Source organism: Homo sapiens, chromosome 9 (assembly GCF_000001405.40).
Source record: "Homo sapiens chromosome 9, GRCh38.p14 Primary Assembly".
In the NCBI taxonomy this organism is placed as follows: Eukaryota; Metazoa; Chordata; class Mammalia; order Primates; family Hominidae; genus Homo; species Homo sapiens.
In genome coordinates this window covers 76,034,640-76,059,311 of record NC_000009.12, presented here as the reverse complement: position 1 = coordinate 76,059,311, position 24,672 = coordinate 76,034,640, and the positions used below count along the sequence as shown (strand labels likewise).

General features: G+C 38.0%; 1 protein-coding gene across 8 annotated transcripts in view, besides 1 other annotated feature; it reads right to left on the bottom strand.

The window, feature by feature from the left end:
- Positions 1-24,672, bottom strand: part of PCSK5 (proprotein convertase subtilisin/kexin type 5) — a 473,167-nt gene that overhangs the window by 303,664 nt on the left and 144,831 nt on the right. The window lies entirely within an intron of this gene.
- Positions 12,003-12,174: a silencer, noted in NCBI's record as "fragment chr9:78662054-78662225 (GRCh37/hg19 assembly coordinates)". NCBI's record gives its function as "represses an EF-1alpha promoter that drives an FKBP-Casp9 reporter gene in an ReSE screen in phorbol 12-myristate 13-acetate-treated (for megakaryocytic differentiation) K562 erythroleukemia cells {active_cell/tissue: K562(+PMA)}" and the evidence as "EXISTENCE:reporter gene assay evidence [ECO:0000049][PMID:32094911]".

The window sequence follows — 24,672 nt, the reverse complement described above, 5'->3', positions numbered from 1 at the left end:
GCAACCTACAGAATGGGAGAAAATTTTTGCCATCTATCTATCTGACAAAGGTCTAATATCCAGAATCTACAAATAAACAAATTTACAAGAAAAAAATCGAAGTCCTAATGAAGCATACATCAGACATTCTCATATCACCTTAATGGTTACTCTCTCCTTCAGACTCCCATAACCTTCTCTCTCTGGGCTGCATTCTGTGTAACTTGCTCAATTCTATATTTCACTTTAGCTACCTTCAATCATGACTAATCTGCTATTTAATATTCACTGCATTATTCACTTAGATTGTTATACATTTCTTTTCTTTCTTTTTTTTCGTCTGTGTGGGGAAGTGGGTGTGGGTCTCGCCAAGTTGCCCAGTCTGGCCTCAAACTCCTGGGCTCAAGTGATCCTCCTACCTCAGCTTCCCAAGTAGCTGGGCCTACAGGTGTGTGCTACCATGTCTGGCTTAAAAGTTTCATTTTGTGAAGTTCCTTTTCAAATATGCCTGGTTAATTCTGATAGTCTCTTTTGATTTAAACACTTTAAAAATATTCTTTAAACATATACAGTATCCTGTATCTAATAATTCCAAAATTGTGAATTTAATTCCACTGATGTGTCTGCTGCCCTTCTGTTTTCATGTCAATTTTTTTCCCCATGTAGCTGATGAATTTTCCATTTAGAGGTCATACTGCTTGAGCTTTTATCTCTGTGAATTCTTTGAGGCTTGAGGGAGACGCTCCTTGATCCAAAGAAGATTTAAATTTGCCACTTCCACATTTAAAATTTGGGCTGTACGGGTAATAGGAATTACAGGTGTAAATCCTATGAGGATGTTAGTAATTCATATACACAAGTGTATTTATTTATCCTCTTGTCTCATCTATTACCCAGGTTGAGAAAGTCAAATATGTCCTCTATCTCACTATGTGTAGGTTTTGTTTTTCCCATATAGTTAAAGTACTGTAGATGGTATCTCAGGGGTTCTGGTTTACGCAGAATCCTCACTCATCCCACTGAACCAAGGCCCTGAGCTTATTAAAAAATACCTCCAGGCTGGATGAGGTTGGTTGCTCACTCTCGAAAATGCATGTACCTGCCTAGGCTTATAGATTTGAACTTTCTCAGAGAAATTCTCTTGGTGTCCCACCAACTCAACCATGCACTAAAAAGTCCCTTAAGGTCGGGCATGGTTGCAATATCTGTAATCCTTGCAGTTTTTTGGGGCCAATGTGGGAGGATCACTTGAGCACAGAAGTTGGAGACCAGCCTAAGCAACATGCCAAGACCCTGTCTCTACAAAAAAATAAATAAATAAAAAATAAATTAGCTGGGCATAGTGGTAAGCACCTGTAGTCCCGCTTACTCAGAAGGCTGAGGCTGGAGGATTGCTTGAGCCCAGGAGTTCATGGATGCAGTGAGCTGTGTTCGTGCTACTGCACTCCAGCTTGGGCAACAGTGAGACCCTGTCTCAAAAAAAAAAAAAAAAAAAAAAAAGCCCCTGAATACTTTCCTGAGTTTTAGATGTACCATACCAGGAAAGATGTAATTGAATATTTATTCTACCATATTATTAAAATATGGAAGAGCTAACTTGGTTTTGTAGTCCAAAAATGTAAAAAAGCCCTGCACAGATTACATGCATCATTAATACGTAGTGACTGTTCCTGAGTGAATAATATAGTGACTATTTCCTTATAAAGGGCTTCTTATAAAGATTTCTGTACATTGCTTTACACCATATTATATGAACCATTTTTGGGAGAGAGTGAAATTATCTGAGCTGAACCTTCACTCTGCTGCTGATACATATGCATTATGTAACAGTTAAATAATACATTTCAGCATACTGTAATTGATGGTCCAAATGGTTAGCTCAATTACATTTAAATCACCCTAGCCCATTCTCTTCAGATGACAATGATCACTACCCCGAGAAAAATATCAGTCATCTTAAATTTTTATATCTTAGTTGGACTCAGTGTTTTCACATGGATTTAAAACAAGTTATAGAGCAATAGACATCATCATGACCTGTTTGAAGTTCAAGTGTATGAACAAGATTCATTTTTTTTATTCCCACAGAATTATAAGGGTGGTCAGCAAGAGGTATGTTTATGATGTCAGTTAAATATAAAAGTCACAAAAAGAAAAGTCTATGTTTCAGATGTGTTTTTGCTCAGAGACCACAGAGTATGAGCATCTAGAATACTTTCAGCATAGGGAGAAAACTTTAGTAGATTTTACTCCAGAAAAACAATATATTCATTATATTACACTCTAACATACATGTACCTACACATGAATTTTACTAGTCAATTCTTATGTAATAAATACTCATTGGAATATTAGTCATCTGTTAAGCTCTCTTGCATATGCCCACAATATTACTAAGATGCATATTTTCCTAGACTTCCAGAAGACAACCCATTATATAAATCATAATTGATCTACAGACCAATGACTTAAAAGAAATAGGATGTCATCTAAAATAAATTGGCTGTAGACAAACTAATAACTTAAAAAAAATGCCTCTTATTGCATCACTTCTGATTCTCTTAAGGATACTGTCATTACTGTCAAAGCCCTAGTAAACATGAAACAATTTGTTACATAATTTTTACCTCAAAAAACCATTTTAACTCTTGAAGAGCATCTTGACTTAAAGATCATGCCTGCCTTGTTCTACTGCCTTTCTTACTAAGTTTTATCATCTACTACTAACAATAAACCACTATAATTAAAGGTCTAAAGTTTTACCTGGGATACCTTATTGAGAAGATGGAAAATCAGATGAGAAAGTGCCTGTTAATTTCTGTGTATCATGAACACATACAAATTAGGTGAAGTGAGTGTAGGGCCTTCATGGGGTCACTGTATCTTGCTAAGTGGGGAGATGTTGCCTTCACTTCTCCTTTTGCCCTCTCCTCACACGGCTTTGAGAACTTTTTTTCTTCCGTATCTGTTAATGTGGATGGAAACATTAACTTATTTGAGGTTTCATCCCAGATCGGAAGACAAGATGTGAGAGAGCTCAGAATGAATCAGAGACATCAGGTCACACAAAGGGGGTCACCCTTTACCCTTGACATTGCATTGCTTGACAGTCACAATTATACATATAGGTTATCAAGCAATGGCAAGTGGGAGAAAGGTGACTTTATATTTCACTCTTTTCTTGGAACAAACATCTTCAGGTGTTCACGGATTCTGTCTACTTTCACCATTGGTATTCCCTTCTGACACCTAGGGTGTCTATTCTTTCTTGCAGGTTTTAAATTTTGTATGAATCTAAGCAAAAACCATTTATTTCAAAAGCCCTCTTAGAAGGAGAGAGGAGAGCCAGAAATAGGGATATGTTCTCCAACATATTGTGCAAAATTGATGTTTCTAATTGGTCATGTTATGCATCATCATATTACCACCTTCTGCTTATATCACACTCTGTAATGCTCAAAGTACTTTTGCCTCATTTGATTCTCACATCAACCCTGTGAAGTAAGCAAAACATATATTATTTCTCTTATTTTACAAATGAGAACTAGACCAGGGTATCCTAGCTCCTTGTATAATGACTTTCTATCATTCTGCTAAGACTCAGAGAGGCCTACATTCTTAAGGCTTTGAATAATTGCCAAGATTTCATGGCTCCTTTATCTGCAACCCTACTTTTTGCCTACTATCAATGCTCTGTGGAGGAGCAGTGACTATATTCCTTCATTAGTATTGATGACAGCATATTTGATAGTATATTTTACTGAACCTCCACAAAATTAAGTTGTATTTTTCAACTTAATTACAAGAAGGAAATAATAATAATCTTAAAAATGAAACTTAAGAATGGAAAATAGCCGAAAATGCATTATCCCCCTGTTGTCAATGAAAAGCTTACCAAAATATATTTGAGAAAAAAAATTTAAAAATTTAAGAAGTAAAAAGAAATCATATAGTCTATTTGTGGTGATCAGTTTTTGTGACTCGATGATAATAACTTCTGAAGTACTTGGAATTACATGAAGTCCACGAGGCCTTAAAAACAGTAAATTTTTTGTTATGGGGGAAGAGAGTCAGGAAAACTTGTTCAAAATAACAAATAAATAGATACATAAAATAATACAAGATTATGTTCAGAGATCCTTTGATAGCCTAATACTGAAATAATCTTAAGCATGAACTTTTAAATTAATTATGATGGTTTTTCTACTTAGCAATAGAGATTCTGAATCCTCATTTTGGCCATCGGGAATAATGTACAATATTTTAAGAAATTATTAAAAGCATTCATCAACTGCTCCAAAATCTGACAGATAACACGCTGTAGGCAAGAAAAAAAATGAAAAGTATATTTCATAGTATTGAGTAATAATAGATCACTATTGATAATTAGCATTAGATATATCAAATGTAAATAACTAGCAAGCTTTTAAAAACAAGAAAATATTTCTTATGGTGAGTTAAAGTATTGTCTGACACACACACATACACACACATGCATGTCAAAACCAGTGAAATCTGAGTAAGGCCTGTAAAATGTATCAATGTCAGTTACCTGACTTTGATATTATACTAGAATTACATAAACTGTTACCATCGTGGGAAACTAAGTAAAGAACTCTGTACTATTTTTGCAAATTTCTGTGAGTTTATAATGTTTTCTCAAAAACAGTATTTTTAAAAATAGTTGTAGGTTTGAAGAATCGTCAGGTATTTGTAAGACTGGTTGTAATTCAAGTAGATTTCAGTCAGAGCACAAACAGTATTGGCAATAAAATAACATCAACTCAAGTGGTCAATCTACTGCTTTAGAAGTGTTTTCTTACCTGTTATTTTGCCTCTTCCTTATCCTTCCCTGCCTAGATCTTTGATATCTTTTCTCTCCTTTTATCTGCCCCAGTCTAGGAAAATAGCTTATTCATTGTTAACTGAAACAACACAAAAAATTATGCTGGTCCATGTTTAAAGGAATAAGTAGCTTGGTTTATCAGAAAATATAGTTCTTCACCTCACTTTGGTTGTCTTCTCAAATATAATGTTGCAAGGAATGATGAAGTACAGTAAAAACCCAAGGCAGGGTGATATGGTTTGGCTGTGTCCCCACCCAAATCTCATCTTGAACTGTAGCTCCCATAATCCCCATGCATCCTCGGAGGGACCAGTTGGGAGGTAATTGAATCATGGGGGTGGGTTTTTCCCATGCAGTTCTTGTGATAGTAAGTCTTATGAGAGCTGATGGTTTTATAAAGGGCAGTTTCCCTGCACATGCTCTCCTGCCTGCCGCCATGTAAGACATTCCTTTGCTCCTCCTCACCTTCTGCCATGATTGTGAGGCCTCCCCAGGCATGTGGAACTGTGAGTCTATCAAACCTCTTTTTCTTTATAAGTTACCCAATCTCGAGTATGTCTTTATTAGCAGCATGAGAACAGACTAACACAGTAAATTGGTACTGGGTAGTGGGGTGCTGCTGTAAAGATACCCGAAACTGTGGAAGTGACTTTGGAACTGTATAACAGGCAGAGGTTTGGAACTTCCTAGAGACTTGGAGGGCTCAGAAGACAGGAAAAAGTGGGAAAGTTTGGAACTTCGTAGAGACATGTTGAATGGCTTTGACTAAAATGCTCATAGTGATATGAACAATAAAGTTCAGCCTGAGGTGGTCTCAGATAAAGATGAAGAACTTGCTGGGAACTGAAGCAAAGGTGACTCATTATGCTTTAAGAAAGAGACTGTGGTATTTTCATCCTGCCCTAGAGATCTATGGAAATTTGAACGTGAGAGAGATGATTTACGGTATCTGGCAGAAGAAATTTCTAAGCGACAAAGCATTCAAGAGGAAGAAGAGGATACATCAAGTTTGGAAAATCTGCAGCCTAACGAAGCAATAGAAAAGAAGAACCCATTTTCGGGGAGAAATTCAAGCCCACGGCAGAAATCTGCATAAGTAACCATAAGCCAGATGTTTGGGAACCTCCGCCTAAATTTCAGAGGATGTATGGAAATGCCTGGATGTCCAGGCTAAAGTTTGCTGCAGCGGGGGAACCCTCATGGAGAACCTCTACCAGGGCAGTGCAGAAGGGAAATGTGGGGTGGGAGCCCCCCCAAAAGAGTGTCCCTACTGGGGCACTGCGTAGCAGAGCTGTGAGAAGAGGGCCACCATCCTCCAGACCCCAGAATGGTAGATACACTGACAGCTTGCACCATTTGCCAGGAAAAGCTGCAGACACTCAATGCCAGCCTGTGAAAGCCTCCAGGAGGGGCGCTGTACCCTGCAAAGCCACAGGGGCGGAACTGTCCAATGCCATGGGAGCCCACCTCTTGCATCAGTGTGACCTAGATGTGAGACATGGAGTCAAAGGAGGTCATTTTGGAGCTTTAAGATTTGACTGTCCTGCTGGATTTGAGACTTACATGGGACCCACAGCCCCTTCAGTTTGGCCAATTTATCCCATTTGAAATGGATGTATTTACCCATGCCTGTACCCCATTCTATCTAGGAAGTAACTAACTTGCTTTTGAGTTTACAGGCTCATAGGTGGAAGGGACTAGCTTTGTGTCAGATGAGACTTTGAACTGTGAACTTCTGAGTTAATGCTGAAATGAGTTAAGACTTTGAAGGACTGCTGGGAAGGCATAATTGGTTTTGAAATGTGAGGACATGAGACTTGGGAGGGGCCAGGGACAGAATGATATGGTTTGGCTGTGTCCCCACCCAAATCTCATCTTGAATTGTAGCTGCCATAATCCCCACGCATCGTGGGAGGGACCCATTGGGAGGTAATTGAATCAGGGGGTGGATTTTTTCCCATGCTGTTCTCATGATAGTGAATAAGTCTCATGAGAGGTGATGGTTTTATAAAGAGCAGTTTCCCTGCACACACTCTCTTGCCTGTTGCCATGTAAGACATGGCTTTGCTCCTCCTCACCTCTGCCATGATTGTGAGGTCTTCCCGGCCATGTGGAACTGTGAGTCCATTAAACCTCCTTTTCTTTATAAATTACCCAGTCTTGGGTGTGTCTTTATTGGCAGCGTGAGAACAGACTAATGCACAGGGTTTATGTATGTATATATGTTTATGGTTCTGACCAAGACACTAAGCACCTCCTTACTAACATTTCTTCTCATCTGTATCTTGGGGATCAACAACAACAAGGCCATAGTGTATGAGAGCTTCCTGTTGATGAAATATACTAATCATGACAATGAAATGCGACCCCTTGTCTTGGCTCCCTGGTTAGTACTCCAGATTTAACCTGCCATGCTTTTTGGTTCCTTTTCTGCTTTAAATGATTAGTTTTTGGTGTGAGACTTGAGCTTGTTTCTACGAAAAAAGATTGCCCATGTCTGTCTGCAGCCCCTAGTTATGCCATGATGATTTTCCTTCTGCATTGGGTCTATTAGGACTCTCAAATCCTGCTCTTCAAGCTTTCTAACTCTATCAGAGGGTTCTGTTTAGTCTTCTGAGACTTAGATCCACTAGTTTTTACTCCATGTGGTTGGAGCGTTGGGAGCAGCCTGTCTGATTTTCCACCACAAATAGAGGACTGGGAAATTGTCTCCTTTACTCCTTGACAATGAATATACAGAAAGTAGTCATTCTTGCTGATTCACTTTAGGTCTGTTCTCAGGTGCTGGGAGGCAGTGTTTTCTCATACAAATGTGAATCTGGAGGATCAAAATCTTCCTTGAAATTGGAGGGGTCAATGTGATGCCTGTTGTTGTTGTTTTTTTTTTGGACATCTGTCTGCTCTACTGAGATAAGTATTACCTATGATATCAGAAAATAAAAATATAACACTTTCAAGTAATGAACTGTCAGAAATGCTGTTTTCATTTTCCTGGAAAATACCAAAGTACCACTTAAGAAATATTTTGGTCAACAATATTAATTATCTTCTTCTTCCCTCCTTCCTTTCTCAAGTCTAAATAATTCACATACTATGTCCTAAGCATTTCTGGGGCCTGGGGCATACAAAGCTGAATAACGCAGGGCTGTGGTGTGGTGCTCACAGTCTTGGCGGGGAATATTCTGAGTAAAGGATTAACAAAATCTTTTTTTCCTCATGTTTGGAAAAATTACTTTGGTTTAACTTTCTAGCTCTGGTCTCCCTGATATCTGAGAAATGTGAGATGTCAGACACTAAGCAATGCTGCTTACAGTAAAAATGAACCCTGGTTGGTAAATTACCATGAACTGGGAGATCTGTGACCAGGACTACAGATAAATGATGAAGTCTTAGCATTGGGCTTCTGAGGTTAGACCCCTAGAAATGGAGTGTGGCCTTCTTTGCAGGGCTTTGGAAGTTATATTCATAGGCTGTTGCAAAAAATATTGCTCTTATGAGCATGGGGCTTTTAAGGTAAAATGACTGTCATATCCCCCTCCACCATATGGCTCATTCTTTACAACTGTGGTGTCACTTGGGAGGCAGTGAGACAGGGGAGGAGCAGAAAATTGTTCTGGGATTGCTGGACTCTCTTGGTGAAGACATAAACCAGATACTACCCTATTAGCACATTATGTTTCTATCCTAGAAGGATAGAATAATTACCTCCTGTGGCCTAATGAGTTCTATGAATTTGACTGATTAATGGAACCTAAGACCACTGACAGGGGCATTGCAAGACTTATGCAAATAATCACCAAGTATTGTGGTACAAGTTAATCAAGGTTTACGTACAAGGTGTTATAAGAATTTCTGCTCCAGTTGTTCTGGTTTGGGATTGGTGCTTGTGAAAATGTGTAGTATGCAATCTAAGCAACTTCCTCCTCCTTACACCTGAACTGATTTTCCTATAATTTCACATCATCATAATTAAAAGAAAATTTTATAATTAGAACTCAGTAATGCATGAAATATGAAGTGTATACTGAGTGTATATGCTAAGAGACTAGAAAAGATCTATAAAGAGAATGAAAGAAATAATGACCTGTATCAAATTATAATTTTGATTTTTGTGGTCTATTTCTTTCCATATATATATTTTTGAAATGTACACTGAAATCGATGTCATGTAAATATTTCTGAAGTAGCAAAGCAACAGACCAGCTTGGCAGAATGGAAACAGACCATGTTTCAACTTTACCTATACTCCTGTATATAGGTAAAATCTAATTTTATGAATATTATTATAAAGACCTTCTTAACTACACCTAATGAGACTACTTCCATCTTCTGACTCATAATTAATTTTTCTGAAGCATTCATTCAGCAAATATCTATCAAGTACCAACTACCTGCTAAGAATGTGATTATTCACTAAGGATTCAACAGTGAGAAAAAAAGACATGATACAACATAGTTTCAATAAATTCTGTTGGCCAGAAAATCCTGAATCATAGACAATAATTTACAAGTCTACATTTATTTAACAATAAATATATTTAATGGATCTGCTTTTATTAAAATATTCAAATAAAGATACCATTCAATATTTGTTAAATAGGCCAAAAATACTTGTTTTGCCCAAAATCTGTTAATGATTGAGTGATGGAGAAAGATGATATTATAAATGCCTGACTTCACTCTGCTCAGGGCTGTTTCCTGATCATAAGCAAACTGAACACACTTCTGAAAATAGGAGGCTTCCTTTGCAGGGAGTAAGGGTTGACAATTATCTGTTTGACTGAAATACAGGTAAACAATGGCCATGAAATTCTGATCCAAGGGCTCCTTGGGGTTACTAAGCTTCTTCTGCAATACACTTCAGGGTGTGAGAAGGTGGGTGGAGCTTTGTCCCAGGGTTATTCTGCACTCTGCACTCTGCACAGGGAGTGCTGAAGTAGAGATAAGCAGTGCTAACACCATCTATTCACTGAGTTTCCTTGTTACCATTTCAAATTAGCTACACCACGCAACTGCGGGCCCTTCTGTTTACTGACAGTTATTCCTGGTTCCTTTTGCAGAGTTCATCAGGGCCATTTCCACTCACATTGGGAGACTATCAACATTATGGAAGTACTAAACCAAAAATTAAAGAATGCTTCCCTTCAAAACGTATAATTTATTATAATCCCTAATGATCTATTCAACATTTTAGCATATACACCATATTTCATTTAGAAATAACTTACGGGATGGGTTTTTATTATGATGGTATTTGCATGAGCTTATGAGCAGGAATCGCCAAATATTTTCTGCAATGGGCCAAGTAGTAAATATTTTAGGCTTTATGGGGACACATGCAGTCTCTGACATGTCTCCTTTTTTCTTTCTTCTTTATTTTTTTTTTTAACCCTTTGAAAACATAAAAACTGCTCTCAGGTAGAGGGTCACTGGGTAGATTTGACCTCCAGTCTGTGGTCTGCCTATCTCTAATTTCTAGGCATAAAGGATAAATATGATAAATATGATCGTAGCCATTTATGTCATCTTGGGAACCAAAAAACACATGCTTCTACCTTTTCTACCTCCACTCGCTATGATTTTATATTGACACTGAATTCTGTTTTATGTAAATCAATAAACTCAATAAATACAATGCATCATTCATATCTCCTGAAATAATAACCATTGGAAAGAATACTTAATATAATTTGCAACTTAGACATCAAATCAATTAAAGTTGTAAGGATCACTTATCTTTTACTTGTCAGGCAGTTTCACTTAGGTTCTCACATTTAATTTCATTTGATCTCTCTAATAGTCGTGTACTACATGTATTTTTATCCCCACCTTATAGGTAAGAAAATGGAAATTCTTGCAGGTTAAGTGACTTTGCTAAAGTAATACAGCCATCTTACTTTGAAAGAACTTAAACCCAGAACTTCTGAAACCAAGTCCTAGAGCTTAACAGGAAAATGCAAAATATATTTAAACAAGAACATGCATACATCCTCAGGTACACACGTACTTAGTGCCAGAACAAACTAATGATGATTTGAGATCTTTCCTGAGACAACTGCTCAGAAGTTGCATTTTTAAGCTATCTGGATCAGGGTTCACAGGCTCCTTCTAACAGGATACCATAATTATTAGGTTTCCTAAGTGAGAAAGCCAAACAAATCCATGCAAGAATGATATTATTACTAATGAAACCTGTGCCAATTCGAGCACCCCTCTCCTTTTCAGTGCCATGACTTTATATCTGTGTGGACATAAAATGCAAACAAACAATAAAAGTCAAATCAAGCAAACTGATTTCCTAATGAACTTTCAAAAAGACACAGGGTTTTATACAATGAAAATAATATTTAAGAACAGCTTCCATCACACTCAAAGCCATGTTGAAAGAGGATTCAGAAGTGTGAGATCAGTAAAAATGGAAGAAAGAAAATCAACAAGGACGGCAACGTGACAGCGGCTTTAAATGAGAATGATTTGTCAATAAAATGATTCCAAATGCCCTTGGAAAAACCGATAAAGATTTTTATAAACTGAGTCTGTTTATGACCCTACTAAAATTCAAATTTTATAATATTACAGAAAACCTACAACTTTAAACATGATTCATTTTTGTTTGATACAAGAATGACTATAGCTGCATGCTCTATTAGGTAATAAACTCATGAATTTTCATACATTTACTTTTATTATTACAAACAAAGCACCATTTGCGATGTTTATAACAAGACTCTGGCCTCAATTTAAATAGATTCATTTTTAATGTTTTCTCCTCACAACGCCCATTTATCCCATTAATGAGTCCCTCCTACACTGCCTCTCCAAATTGGGCAAGTTGTAGATTAAATAAGAGAATAAGGAAATTGCTCCCCTCTCTTGAGAGGGCAGAAATGGTGACAGCAATTGAGTCACTGCCAAATGCAAAATTGGTTTGCTACCTTGACCTCTAATGTATATTCTGTGCAAGTCCCTTTCCATATCCTAAATGACTCTTTCTCAAGTCACTAGAAATCACAAGCTGTTTACACCAAAATAGTTATCAAAGTGATAGTCTCCCATGAATACAATATGATAATAGAAAATGTCAGGCCCTGAACTGCATGCTCAGCATCAGTAAGATTTCCCTTGCACTTTGGGAGGCCGAGGCGCGCGGATCACAACGTCAGCAGATCGAGACTATCCCGGCTAACACGGTGAAACCCCATCTCTACTAAAAATACAAAAAGTTAGCTGGGCATGGTGGCGGGCGCCTGTAGTCCCAGCTACTCGGGAGGCTGAGGCAGGAGAATGGCGTGAACCCAGGAGGCGGAGCTTGCAGTGAGCCGAGATCTCACCATTGCACTCCAGCATGGGCGACAGAGCAAGACTCCGTCTCAAAAAAAAAAAAAAGATTTCCTTGAAGTATCCATGCAAATAAGGATCTCATTTCTTTGGTTGACATATTACCTGTTTTGGCTAGGTGTGATATCACACTTAGAGACACAGGGGCAGTCCATGGCTGGAAGCCATTATGTCTGCTTTTCTTTTCTTCATTAATGTCAGACATTGGGACATACAGAAACTCCTTTTTATCCCCAAGAGAAGAAGTGTGTTCACAGACTGTACTGGGCAATACTTAAGAACTACAGTTGGCCGGGCGCGGTGGCTCATGCCTGTAATCCCAGCACTTTGGGAGGCCGAGGCGGGCGGATCATGAAGTCAGGAGATGGAGACCATCCTGGCTAACACGTTGACACCCCGTCTCTACTAAAAATACAAAAAATTGGCCGGGAGTAGTGGCGGGTGCCTGTAGTCCCAGCTACTCAGGAGGCTGAGACAGGAGAATGCCGTGAACCCAGGAGGCAGAGCTTGCAGTGAGCCGAGATCATGCCACTGCACTCCAGCCTGGGCAACAGAGCCACACTCCGTCTCAAAAAAAAAAAAAAAAAAAGAAAAAGAAAGAAAAAAAAAGAACTAGAGTTGTATTCCTTCTCACTCTAGTATCTAAACACCATAAAATATAAAAGAAAAAATTGGCTGGGCGCGGTGGCTCACGCCTGTAATCCCAGCACTTTGGGAGGCCGAGGCGGGCGGATCATGAGGTCAAGAGTTCGAGACAAACCTGACCAACATAGTGAAACCCCGTCTCCACTAAAAATACAAAAATTAGCTGGGCATAGCGGCGCGCGCCTGTAATCCCAGCTACTTGGGAGGCTGGGGCAGGAGAATCGCTTGAACCCGGGAGGCAGAGATTGCAGTGAGCCGGGATTGCACCACTGCATTCCAGCCTGGGCGAGAGGGCGAGACTCCGTCTCAAAAAAAAAAAAAAAAAAAAAAAAAAAAAAAAAAACAAAAGAAAAAATTATGTGTTAATGCTACTAAAGTTAGTATTTGAACATTCATATTGATTCATCTGTCCAGAGTCATAAAACAAGACAAAAGAAAACAACTATATTAATGCTTAACCACTGTATGCTAAAGCATTTATTTATAATATTCTTCATTCTCCTTCCTATGGAATAGTTTGGGAAAATGTAGTAGTTATGAACAATAATTGCAGAAATGGAAAACCCTTATGGCAAATTAACTAACAATCTCTCAGAAGTGAGAATTTGCCAACCCCAGTCTCTCTACCACTCCCGCCACACCCTTTATCAACAGATTATCATTCCCTTAGGTTACAGATCACTGAGATCACCAAATCATCTCCTCCCAACATCTAAATCACTTCAGTGCCCACCATAGGGATAGCAGGTAGAGAACCAGGAAGACCATAACAAGTCAGTTATTAATTTATTAATAAATCACAATGAGTTAAAGAACTTTGTGAAGGGTAGAAAAGAGATTTAAATTGATTAGTCAAGAGACATTGTTGGACTTTGTTTCATCTGACAGTCATCTGTCAATAGCTCAGACAATCATAAAACTGTGTCCTTTTCAAAGGGAGAAAAGTGAAATGACTTGGCAAAACTTTTCTTTTCCTCTCCCTCTGCCACTTTAAAATCGAAGAATTCTGAATCCTTGCTGTTAACCAAATGGCATTTACAGCTCTCAGTTGGCATGGGGTAGCTGAGAATCTAAAAGGAGGAATGCTTATTCCATTTCCATTTCCATGGAAACCAATCACCAACTGGTGAAAACAAGGTAGATCAAATTTTTGAATAAGAATGTTGAAATAATCACTGTTTTAAAACTTTTCTCTTGCATCAGGATGAAGAGCATAGTCTAATCTCCGAAAACACACAGAGATGTCTGTGTGGATAAATAATTCACTGCTGCTTTATTGTTGCAACTCTTCTTCATAATCACGATAATTACTGTATTCTAGTGAGGTTTTCTGATCATTCACTGAAGGACAAATTGTTATAAATCCAATAAATAACTTACATTTGAAAATGGGAAAATTCCAAAGCCAAGAAATCCATTCAAAATGTATTATCATGTTCCTCTTCTACATCCTCTTAGCAAATGTATGAGGAAAGAAACATGGTGATTTTCAGAGAAGGAATAGACTGTGATCTGTTTTTGCGAGAAGATTTGGAGGAGTATTCAATTTTTTGGAACTCTACCATGAAAATCAGACTTTAAATAGACTATTTAAATGACCAATTATTACAAAGCAGAAATAGTCTTCATAGCTCTTAAAACCATTCAGCCTTTCCAAGAGAATTTGAATAGTCCCCTTCACAAAAAAATAAATAAAAATTCAAGTATTACTTTGACTATTTGCACACTTAAAATACAAACATCCCAATAATTTCCCACAAAGGAGTAACAGGATGAAAAAATGTCAATAATTCATTTAACTTGGAGCTCTCTTACTAGGCTATTACTAGGCTTTCCTGATGACCAAAATCTCTAAATTAGCTCTAATACCAAAAGTTATTACAAAAGGGTTGCACTGCGTACAGCATTCCAAACATTCAGAATGCATGATCTGTAATGCTCACAGAAAACTGCTGGTAGCTTTTATTTCCCCCACTGTTTTACACACAGAAGATAATTAAGTCTCCCAGTGGTAATAAGACTTACCCTAAGTTATTCCTACAACCTTTGAGCTTCTTTCCCAATATCAGACTTTCACGATCGTCCTGCACAGGCACACTTTCATGTTTCTAGCTTGTAACCCCAATTCAAAAATATCATCACATTTACTTCCCATCTCATTAATTCTAATCTCCTCATATTAGTAAAACATAAATCAGTATGGAAATGTCTGACTTCAAATACTACCATGAATACATGCCAACTCATTTACTATTCATATTCCTGATTTTTAAAATCTCAAGTTGTTAAAATTATAGCCAAATTCTACATCTGAAGTTGTTCCTTACGTTGGTCTAATTATATCTGATTTGTTTCCTTATTTCTGCTTATGCTATTTAAGAGGCTTAACCTTAATTTTTAAGACCAACATTTATATTTATTAACATTTATATGGTTAATACATAAGAATGTAATAAGAAAGTTGGTAACATTTTTCAAGCCACCCTTTTTTATTTAAAAAAAACTGTCCCTAATTATAATTAGTTAGGGGTACATGTGTGTGATGGGACATAGAGAGAGAAAGAGAGAAAGACTGACTGATTTTGGCTAAAATTCAAATCTCAAGGAATTATTTCACAAGTTTTATTAATCAGGCTGGGCACAGTGGCTCACACCTGTAATTCAAGCACTTTGGGAGAATGAGACCGGTGGATTGCTTGAGCCCAGGAGTTCAAGACCAGCCTAGGCAACATGGTGAAGCACTGTCTCTACCAAAAATACAAAAATTAGCCAGTCTCGTAACTCGGACTCAAAATAAATACATACATAAAATAAAAAGTTTTATTAATCAATAATTATATGTGCATGGCCCATTTTCATTTTTTCATTCTAAAATTTCTTAGTGAACACATTTTGTAAAGCTTATACCACTTATTTACCTCCTATAAGCAAGGCCAGCACGTGACATCTGAAAGAAAAACAAAAACCTCCAAATCAAAGGTTAATTCATAATTTCCTTTCAGAGGCCTAAGAATAAGAATTAGTCAGTGTTAATGAAAACAGCCCCAGGTAACTTGCAACATTTTCTTTCCATGAAAATTGCAGTCTTTTTTTCAGAGTCTAAATGGAAGCCTGCCTTTTAATATCTGTAAATACCTCGAAAATACTTTTTTTTTTTTTTTTTTTTTTGAGATGGAGTCTCGCTCTGTCGCCCAGGCTGGAGCACAGTGGTGCAATCTCGGCTCACTGCAAGCTCCACCTCCCGGGTACACGCCATTCTCCTGCCTCAGCCTCTGGGACTACAGGCGCCCGCCACCACGCCCGGTAATTTTTTGTATTTTTAGTAGAGACGGGGTTTCACCGTGTTAGCCAGGATGGTCTCAATCTCCTGACCCTGTGATCCGCCCGCCTCGGCCTCCCAAAGTGCTGGGATTACAGGCGTGAGCGACGGCGCCTGGCCTGAAAGTACATTTCTTTACCATCTTTGATCCCTTCCTAGTCTGCCAATCCTTTAGCAATGGAAAATCTTGGCAGATTGGTTGGGATTAAAACCTCAAACTCTTCATCTCACTAATGCTACAGTCCAACCCACAGTGATAACAGTAAAGCTGTCATCACTGTCCCCTTTGAGGAGGCACTTCATGGGAAGGAATTACAGGCTGTTGCGATGCACGTTCATTAAAAACATCTCAAGGAACATCACTATGTGATTGTGCTAATACTTTATGTAAGTTTGTACATAAGTAAGTTGGAGATTTGGTGGGAGTGGAGTGCTTCTTATTTCTAGCTAAGGGAAAATACTTCCTCAGGCAACAAATATTCAGTCTATAGTAAAGTTTTTTCCCTTTGCTGAAACTTTTAGGTTTTTTAACAAAGAGTCTTACTCTGTGACCCAGGCTGGCATGCCGTGGCGTGATCTCAGCTCACTGCAACCTCCACCTCCCAGGTTCAAGCTATTCTCCCACCTCAGCCCCCCCTAGTAGCTGGGATTACAGGCACATGCCAATGTGCCCAGCTAATTTTTGTATTTTTAGTAGAAATGGGATTTCGTTCACCATGTTGGCCAGGCTGGTCTTGAACTCCTGACTTCAAGTGATCTGCCTATCTTGATCTCACAAAGTGCTGGGATTACAGGCGTGAGCCACCATGGTGCCTGGCCTGAAACTTTTAGTTGAAGTCATTTAAGAGAAATAGAAACAAAAGACAAAAATGGCAGTTAGTACGCTTTTACACAAAAGTTTGGAATATCAGAATAAGACTAAAGTTCATTTAAAACTTATTTCTGCCACTTGTTTTAGGTTTTTTATCCATAAAACTTGAATATTTTGCATTTCATGGTGTTTTTTCTTTCCCTTTATTTGCTCAAGAAGTGAAAAGGGGGCAATGATCTTGCCACAGGGCAGGGATGTAGCAAAACTCAGCTTCCAACTAGGTTAAATTAGAATTAATCGTAATACACAAGGTAACACCCTATATATAAGGATCTCCAAGCACTGTAGAATAACAACATGACCACTTATTGAGTATCTACTATTCATCAGTCTCTAGTATTGAATAAGGTATGCTATTTTCAGATGACTGTAAAAAACATTAGTTAAAACCACAGCATATTGTAGAAAGGGTTAAGGGGTGAGGCTAAAAAGACAGTGAACACATTATAAAATCTTTTTTTTTTTTTTTTCCCTTGAGACAGAGTCTTGCTCTGTCACCCAGACTGGGGTGTAATGGTACAATCTGGGCTCACTGCAACCTCTGCCTCCTCAGTTCAAGTGATTCTCCTGCCTCAGCCTCCTGAGTAGCTGGGACTACAGGCACAGCCACCACACCTGGCTAATTTTTGTATTTTTAGTAGAGACGGGGTTTCACCATATTGGCCAGGATTGTCTTGATCTCTTGACCTCGTGATCCGCCCGCCTTGGCCTCCCAAAGTGCTGGAATTACAGGTGTGAGCCACCGCACCTGGCCATAAATTCTTTACATACATTTAAAGAGTTTGGACATAGTCATAAGGGGTTTGAAGACAGAGGCAAAACACATTCAGATTTAAGTTTTAGATAAAGGAGAAGCTCCAGGGAAAATAAGAAATGTCTGGCTTAACAAGAGGATGCCTTTTGTTCCAAAGCTTGCAAGGAGCTCACTAATACCAGGGCACTGTCAGTCATTACAAAAGTCATCTCATGAATGGTTGTTCTCTTTGGTCAGTCATTTTCCAAGACTCAGGTGAAATACTATTGCCTCCAGAAGTCTTCTCTGAATTTAACCTACAGTAGTAACTTCTCTAAATCCTATTCCTATGGTTTATGGCCCTAGTTTACAATTGTGTATTTTATTTTACATAAAAAGAACTTTTTACTTCAAATATAATTCTAAGAGAAATTCTACCACGTAAATAAGATTTTAAAATAGATTTTGGTTTGTTTGAGGAAGAGAGAGCTACACCCATCCACACAACCTCTTGAGCCACATTTGGACAGCCTGTGAGATCCATCAGCAGACTCCAGGGTTCCATGAAATGCTTTTGGAAAACTGATGGTCTCCAAATCACATCCTGCCTAGTGGTTTGTTTTAACTGCACTGTGTTAGTTAAGTGATGGATCAATACTAAATTTCTACATACTGTAAGTATATCACTAGTAGATTTTTAATGAATAACCAAAACACTGCTATGTTTCTACTAGGTATTCAGAAATCCTTTCTAAATGAAATGATATGCCATAAAATAAACACTAAATTCTCATAAATTAACTACAATTGTTTCCATGAATTAAACATTGTTTATTGCTTATAAACACTATGTTCAGAAAAAGCATCTAGGGTCCTGCTCCAAATTAGAGTGTATTATGATACAAGGAACATGGGTTTGGAGGCCAGACTCACTTTCATAAGCTATGTGAGAGCCTGCCTTCAATTTTACTTTCTTCCTCTGCAAAAAGGGGGCACTGGTAATGACATTTAATCTCTGGTTCTTTGCTGTAACTGACTGAGTTAAGCAGAAAAGTAGTTTGTTAAAGGGATCTTGGGAAGCTCGGAATTGTTGGGAGCACTGATTAACCAGGGTGGAAGCTAAGGATCAATAAAAAGACACAGCTGATCTATGAGGAAAGACCTGTTGAGAGAGAGAGAGAGAGAGAGAGAGAGACAGAGAGAGAGAGAGAGAGAGAGAGAGAGAGAGAGAGAGAGAGAGAGAGAGAGAGAGAGACAGAGAACACATCTAAGGGAGTGAGACCTTACTTGGCTTATGCTCTTAATAGCAGGTGCAATTGATTTTTACAATCTGGATCACATGGCCTGTGCCCTAGAGTACATGAAGTGAGGAGTGTTAACCGTTTTCAGCTGCCATACTACCGAGCAGTCTTTGTCCTCAACCAAGACTCTTAAGACAGAAGATTCCTTATACGTAAAAAAGAATTCAGAAACTGGGGGACAAAAACAAAAATCTACCCTACCTATCTGACATGAATGTTTACAAGTGATGTGGGCATAAATGTAAAAGTACTTTGTGAACTGTAAAACTCTAGATAAATTATTATTTTTAGTTGATGGCTCCTCCTTGCTTGACAAGGTGAGATCCCAGAGAGCTTGGAGGCGCTAATGCCATTCGAGGGAACCTGAGATTTGCTCTTTTTTCTCATTCTGTCATGAGAAACACATAATGACCCTGCTGAACTCTATTTAGTCTTTACTGAGTTTATAGCCCAAGGCAAAAGCAGCCAAAGTTTTTTTGGAAGACAAAATTATTCTTCACTTGCCCACCCAAATCATATACCAAGCTTCTCAAAGCTGTAGAACGGCTCACAGGAAGACCAAAGAAGCAGTTCTTGTGTATTGCATTTTTAAAATCATTGTAACAACATAACAATAACTTTTCAAGTACAAACATGTAGTGTTTGTCCATGGATCAGCATAGGCATGCTTTTATAGGTTATTGCTTAGTACATTCTCTTAGCATATAACAGAATTATTAAATTTTATTAAACAATTTACCTAGCAGTTACTTGGGCCTCCCTTCCTCATACACATTTTTCTGTTTCCCTCCAAATACCTGTCTTGGAAATCTATGAGTATGTACTATCCAAATGTATTTGAGAAACCTATAAATTTTTTAAGAAAAACATTTTGTGAATTTAAGATATGGGTACCATCCTTAACAAAGTATTTTGTTAGTATGACATCTCCCTAACCAAAGACAAGGGGGGAAAAGTGATATCACAGATATAAAGAAGTTCTGGGTATTTTTGTTTGTTTGTTTCAACCGGGATGCATTAAACCTGTGTTAGTATATCCTATAATTGAAATAAGTTTTACAGTGCGGATTCTAACTGAAGCTTATAAAAACACAATGAGAATATGGGACGAACATAAGTGGAATGAACTGATGTAAAAACAGTATCTGAAAACATGAAATATACAAGAACAGAAATATAATTTGCAATTGCTTACCGAAATACCTCCTCATATTTGCATTTGGGCTACAAAGATTTCAACAAATATGAACACACCTACAAATGTAACAGTGAAATTGGTATTGTTCCCGCGCTCCATGTTGTGGAATGTGGTTCTACTAAAACAATGCCACTAGTATTTCTCCCTGCAGGAAGGTTGGTTGAACAATTTGATATAAAAATCAACCTATGGAAGAATTAAACCCCAGTTGCTGTGGCATCTCCGCATTGGAAAAAAGTCAAAATGATGGGGCTCCTATTGTCCCAGGAATGGTGTCATTCAGTGTATGGGTGACAAAGTGAATACATGGTTGTCAATGGAGCTGCATCTAAGATTGTTCCTGACTTTGGGGATTTCCCTTCCCTCTTTACGAATTACATTTCAACAAAGCCAAGTATCCCAACTCTTTGATCTCTTCAATTCCAACTGCAGTTCCCCTTGGATGCTCCACTGCCCAACCTATCCCATTACTTCTTATGTGATACACGAGATGGGTGGATAAGAGAAGAAAACAATCAAGTGCTTTTGTTTCAAGTATAACAACACCTATTTCCCACTCCTTTGGAAAACATTAAAGGGATTTGTCATTCTTTAGGAAAAATAAAAAATTTTATGAAAGAGTATGACATTCAATAAAATTAACAACACAGGTCACAATTAAGACTGCTGACCAGTGTGAATTCAAATCAAATCACCTAGCATAAACTAAAATGAACGGGTCCCAAGACCGAGGCAACTGCTAGAGACAAACGTGTCCCTCTTTCTCTGCGGAATAACAACATAATACTAGAGCCTATGGGAAGATCAAGGTATCAGGATAGTGGAAAAAGAAAAGGATATGTGACAACCTGATACTTGTCGGGGCGGAAGGGTTGGAGAGAAAATGAGAGTCTATATATGGTAATTGGGACAGGCATGGGAGGGGGTGTGATCCTTTGAGAATGAACCTCAGAAGGAGGGAATACCAACCAAGAGCAAAAAGGTCATACAAAAATGTTAGCAGTCAGCTCATCTCAGCTCAGGATGTCACCACAAGGGATTTTATCTGCAATTCATGCAAATTCAAATGCATTTACTAGCATACGCAAATTACATGCAGCTGGTGCGTGGATATCTAAAAATAGGAAGTGGTAAACTCTTAACAAAGGTCACTCTTTTCTAAAATTCATGAGATGGCAGCTTCGCCTGAGAGTGGAGAAGGAGGGGATGCAGGAGAATTGGCGGGGATTCTCCAGGTACTCTACTGCTCTTCTCAATTCCTTGGAGCTATTTTAGGTGTTGTATAGGCAAGAAAATTCACCACAATTCCCCACGTACGACACAACCTCACTATCCCATCCCCTCCTTAGGGTAAGAGGAGGTTTCTGATTTTCACAGGCTCTTCTTTGGCTCAGTCTTTTCCTCCTACAGAGTATCTTTCTTCCACAGCCCACATTTCCAGAGGGACTCACAAAGGTTGTCGCTTAAGTGCAAAAACATTGGAAAAGTGTCTTTTACTTTATGTGATTCCAACCTCAAAGAATCCATATCCCCAAATAGAGAAATGTGAAAACTAACCACTTGCCCTCTGAGAATTAGACTAAAACCTTATCTTTACTTACTGTCACCTGTAATAATATTAACAACATCTGTACCTGTGGTACTTTTATATAGTCTCCAAAAACCTTTTGTTTATAGTATGACCAGCTGGAACTCATTCAAGTTTAATTAAACAAACAAACAAACAAACTTGTCAATACATGTAAGTAGAACTGTTTGAGAACAAAGAGATCCAAGCTCCAGCTTCTCTGAGACATTCTCCAACAGACCAAATGTGAAGTTTTCCCTTTCCTTTGTTTGGCTTTTTTCCCCTCACTACAAAGCTTTCCCAGTCTTGTGTCTGCTTTGGAGTCTCTGCAAGCGATGGTGGCTGACTCCTTGCTATTCCAAGCTCTGAACAGTGTCTTGTCTCATTTGGGTGGCCTTCATTTACTTCCACAAAATGAATACCACTGTGGAGTCAAATTTATATAATCATTTACTGTAAAATATAATCTTTGTTACTTGTTCGAAGTTACACATACACATGGTATTAGCAAACTATGCAGACCAACCCCTTCTCTCTGGAGAAACAGGGACCTGAGTACCAGCACTTGGTACAGCCAAGTTATTAAGTGTTTACTGAACACAATGCTGTAAATTCTGGTGATTCTAGTTCTCTGTTGATAGTAAACTTACTGAAGCTTGTGCTCCGCACAAGAATTGATTTCTCATCTACTCATCTACTTGACCACCAATTAATTTAGTTATGCAGGTAATCAGACAGTGTGAGAACAAACAAGCTCAAATTCCGATTCCGCCATTCAGTGACGTTAGGCACATTATTTACCCTCTCTAGACTTCTCTCTGAATGTGGGTTGTTGTGAGTAGTAAATGAGACAACATGCAGATGTACTAATTTTATTAGCAGTTGTTTACATTGCACTCAAATAGAGTCAAATAGCAACCCCAGACATTTGTAGGTGTTTTGGTTGTTTAATTGAAACAGGAACATGGAGAAACTGACGTGGTGAGGAAGGTTCTGAGAAGAATGCTTCTCCAACGTCACAGACATAGTCAATAAAAAGGCTGGGGCTGGTACCTAGGTCTCCTCTAAAAGCAGAATATTTTTTACTCTATCCCCCTGCCTTCTTTGGTGAACGATTTTATGAGAATCAAATGTGTTGTAATCTAAAGAACATACTTTCTTCCTTTCCACTTTTATTTAAATAGCCTACAGACCCAGTGTTATTCACCTTTTATTAAGGATTATAGTTAAAATGCATACCTATCATTGGTATTAAATACACATACACAAATACTTAAATACACTGGACTAGAAAGCTTGCATTGTAATTAACTAAATTGCTAGAATACAAAAATTATAACCTTTCCTTTAGCTTACAAAAATAAAATTCTAACTTTAGTTCTTTAACTCAGAAGCTGTATGATATGAATAGCAGGGTAACCAATATCTAAACAATATTTTGGTAATGTTAAAATGAATAATCTATAAGCTTGAGGTTTTATTTATTTTTTTCAGCATGCTCTTCTGGTAGCTGTATAGGGAGTGAAAAAAAAATAAAATAAGGGCTTTTCTTTCCTCCTTGTTCAGCAACTAACCTGAGTGTTCACTGGCTGATGAGATTTGAAAGTTCTTGGATGTCTTCTCCAATGTTTAGTAATGAAATAAAGAAAAAAACTGCTATTGCTGACCTCTCAAGGGCCTCAGTCTCTACCTCTTACATATTTCTAAACATAAGGAAACAAGAAAATATAAGGATGCAAGAGAAGGTTAAAAGGGAAGATTAAAAGAGAAAGCTAATTAAATACACCTGTCTTGAAAACCTGTTTAAATGCTTAATCCATTATTTAAAAAGGATACTTATGTGTTTCCTTTACTGCGATTTCCATCTGCTGTAAAGGCCCCAGGAATTTGTGAGTCTGTTTCTTAAATAAGAAATTTAAATTCAAGCAACTATCAATTATTCATGTCAATAATACACCAAGTTAGCACAAATTACACTCATACCTCATTTGAACCTATAACATCAATCAGACCCTTTATCAAAACTGAAGTCCCCAAATCCAGAGAAGAACATACTAAAATTGGCAGAGAAAAACAAGGAGTTCTGAAGGCTGCATCATCATGATTACGAGCCTGGGAATAATTAATGCATTGTTTTACAAAGATGAATATTTACACTGCAGGTAACAGGTATATAGGAATTCGAGGTTAGATAATCATTTTCTATATTTACTTGGCTTTCATTAAAGAATAAACAGGTATTTAGACAATTGCCATGAATTTAGTTTATTCTCAGAGGTATTTAAACATTTTCCCTTTTATTCTACCAAAGATACCAGGCTAAAGAACAAACATACTTGTGTCAGTCAAGTGCCTATCAGGAAACACTGGGCTGTTTTATAATAGATAACCTGAGAAGAATTTATTCGAGGGGCTTGAATTTATTGACTTGAATTTAGTCAACTGACTTCCCAAACCCAATGGGAAGCCAGAGGGCAAGACAGACAATTAATGCAGCCCCTCAAAGTCAGCCTTCTGGGATACAGAGCAGAAATGGAAGGTCAGAAAAAAAGATATCTAGCACAAAGGCCCACTGTATATAACACCATTTAATCGGTCAGCAACTTCAATTCGGACACATTTTGCTCACTCATCTAGATGAACCAATCAAGGTCAGTACTCTTGTAATTATTCTAAGAAAGAACAAATGGATATTTTATATCCCGAACTAAACTGAAAATCAACTTAGTATATGTTCTTGCCTTTCTATTTCCTACTCTGGCAAATGTGACCCCATCTAGGATTTTAAAAAAGTTTTATAAAAGAATTAATAAGTTCACAGGTGCTGTGAAACTGATTGGAGGGATAACCAGCTCATACCATGCGGGATGAGAGA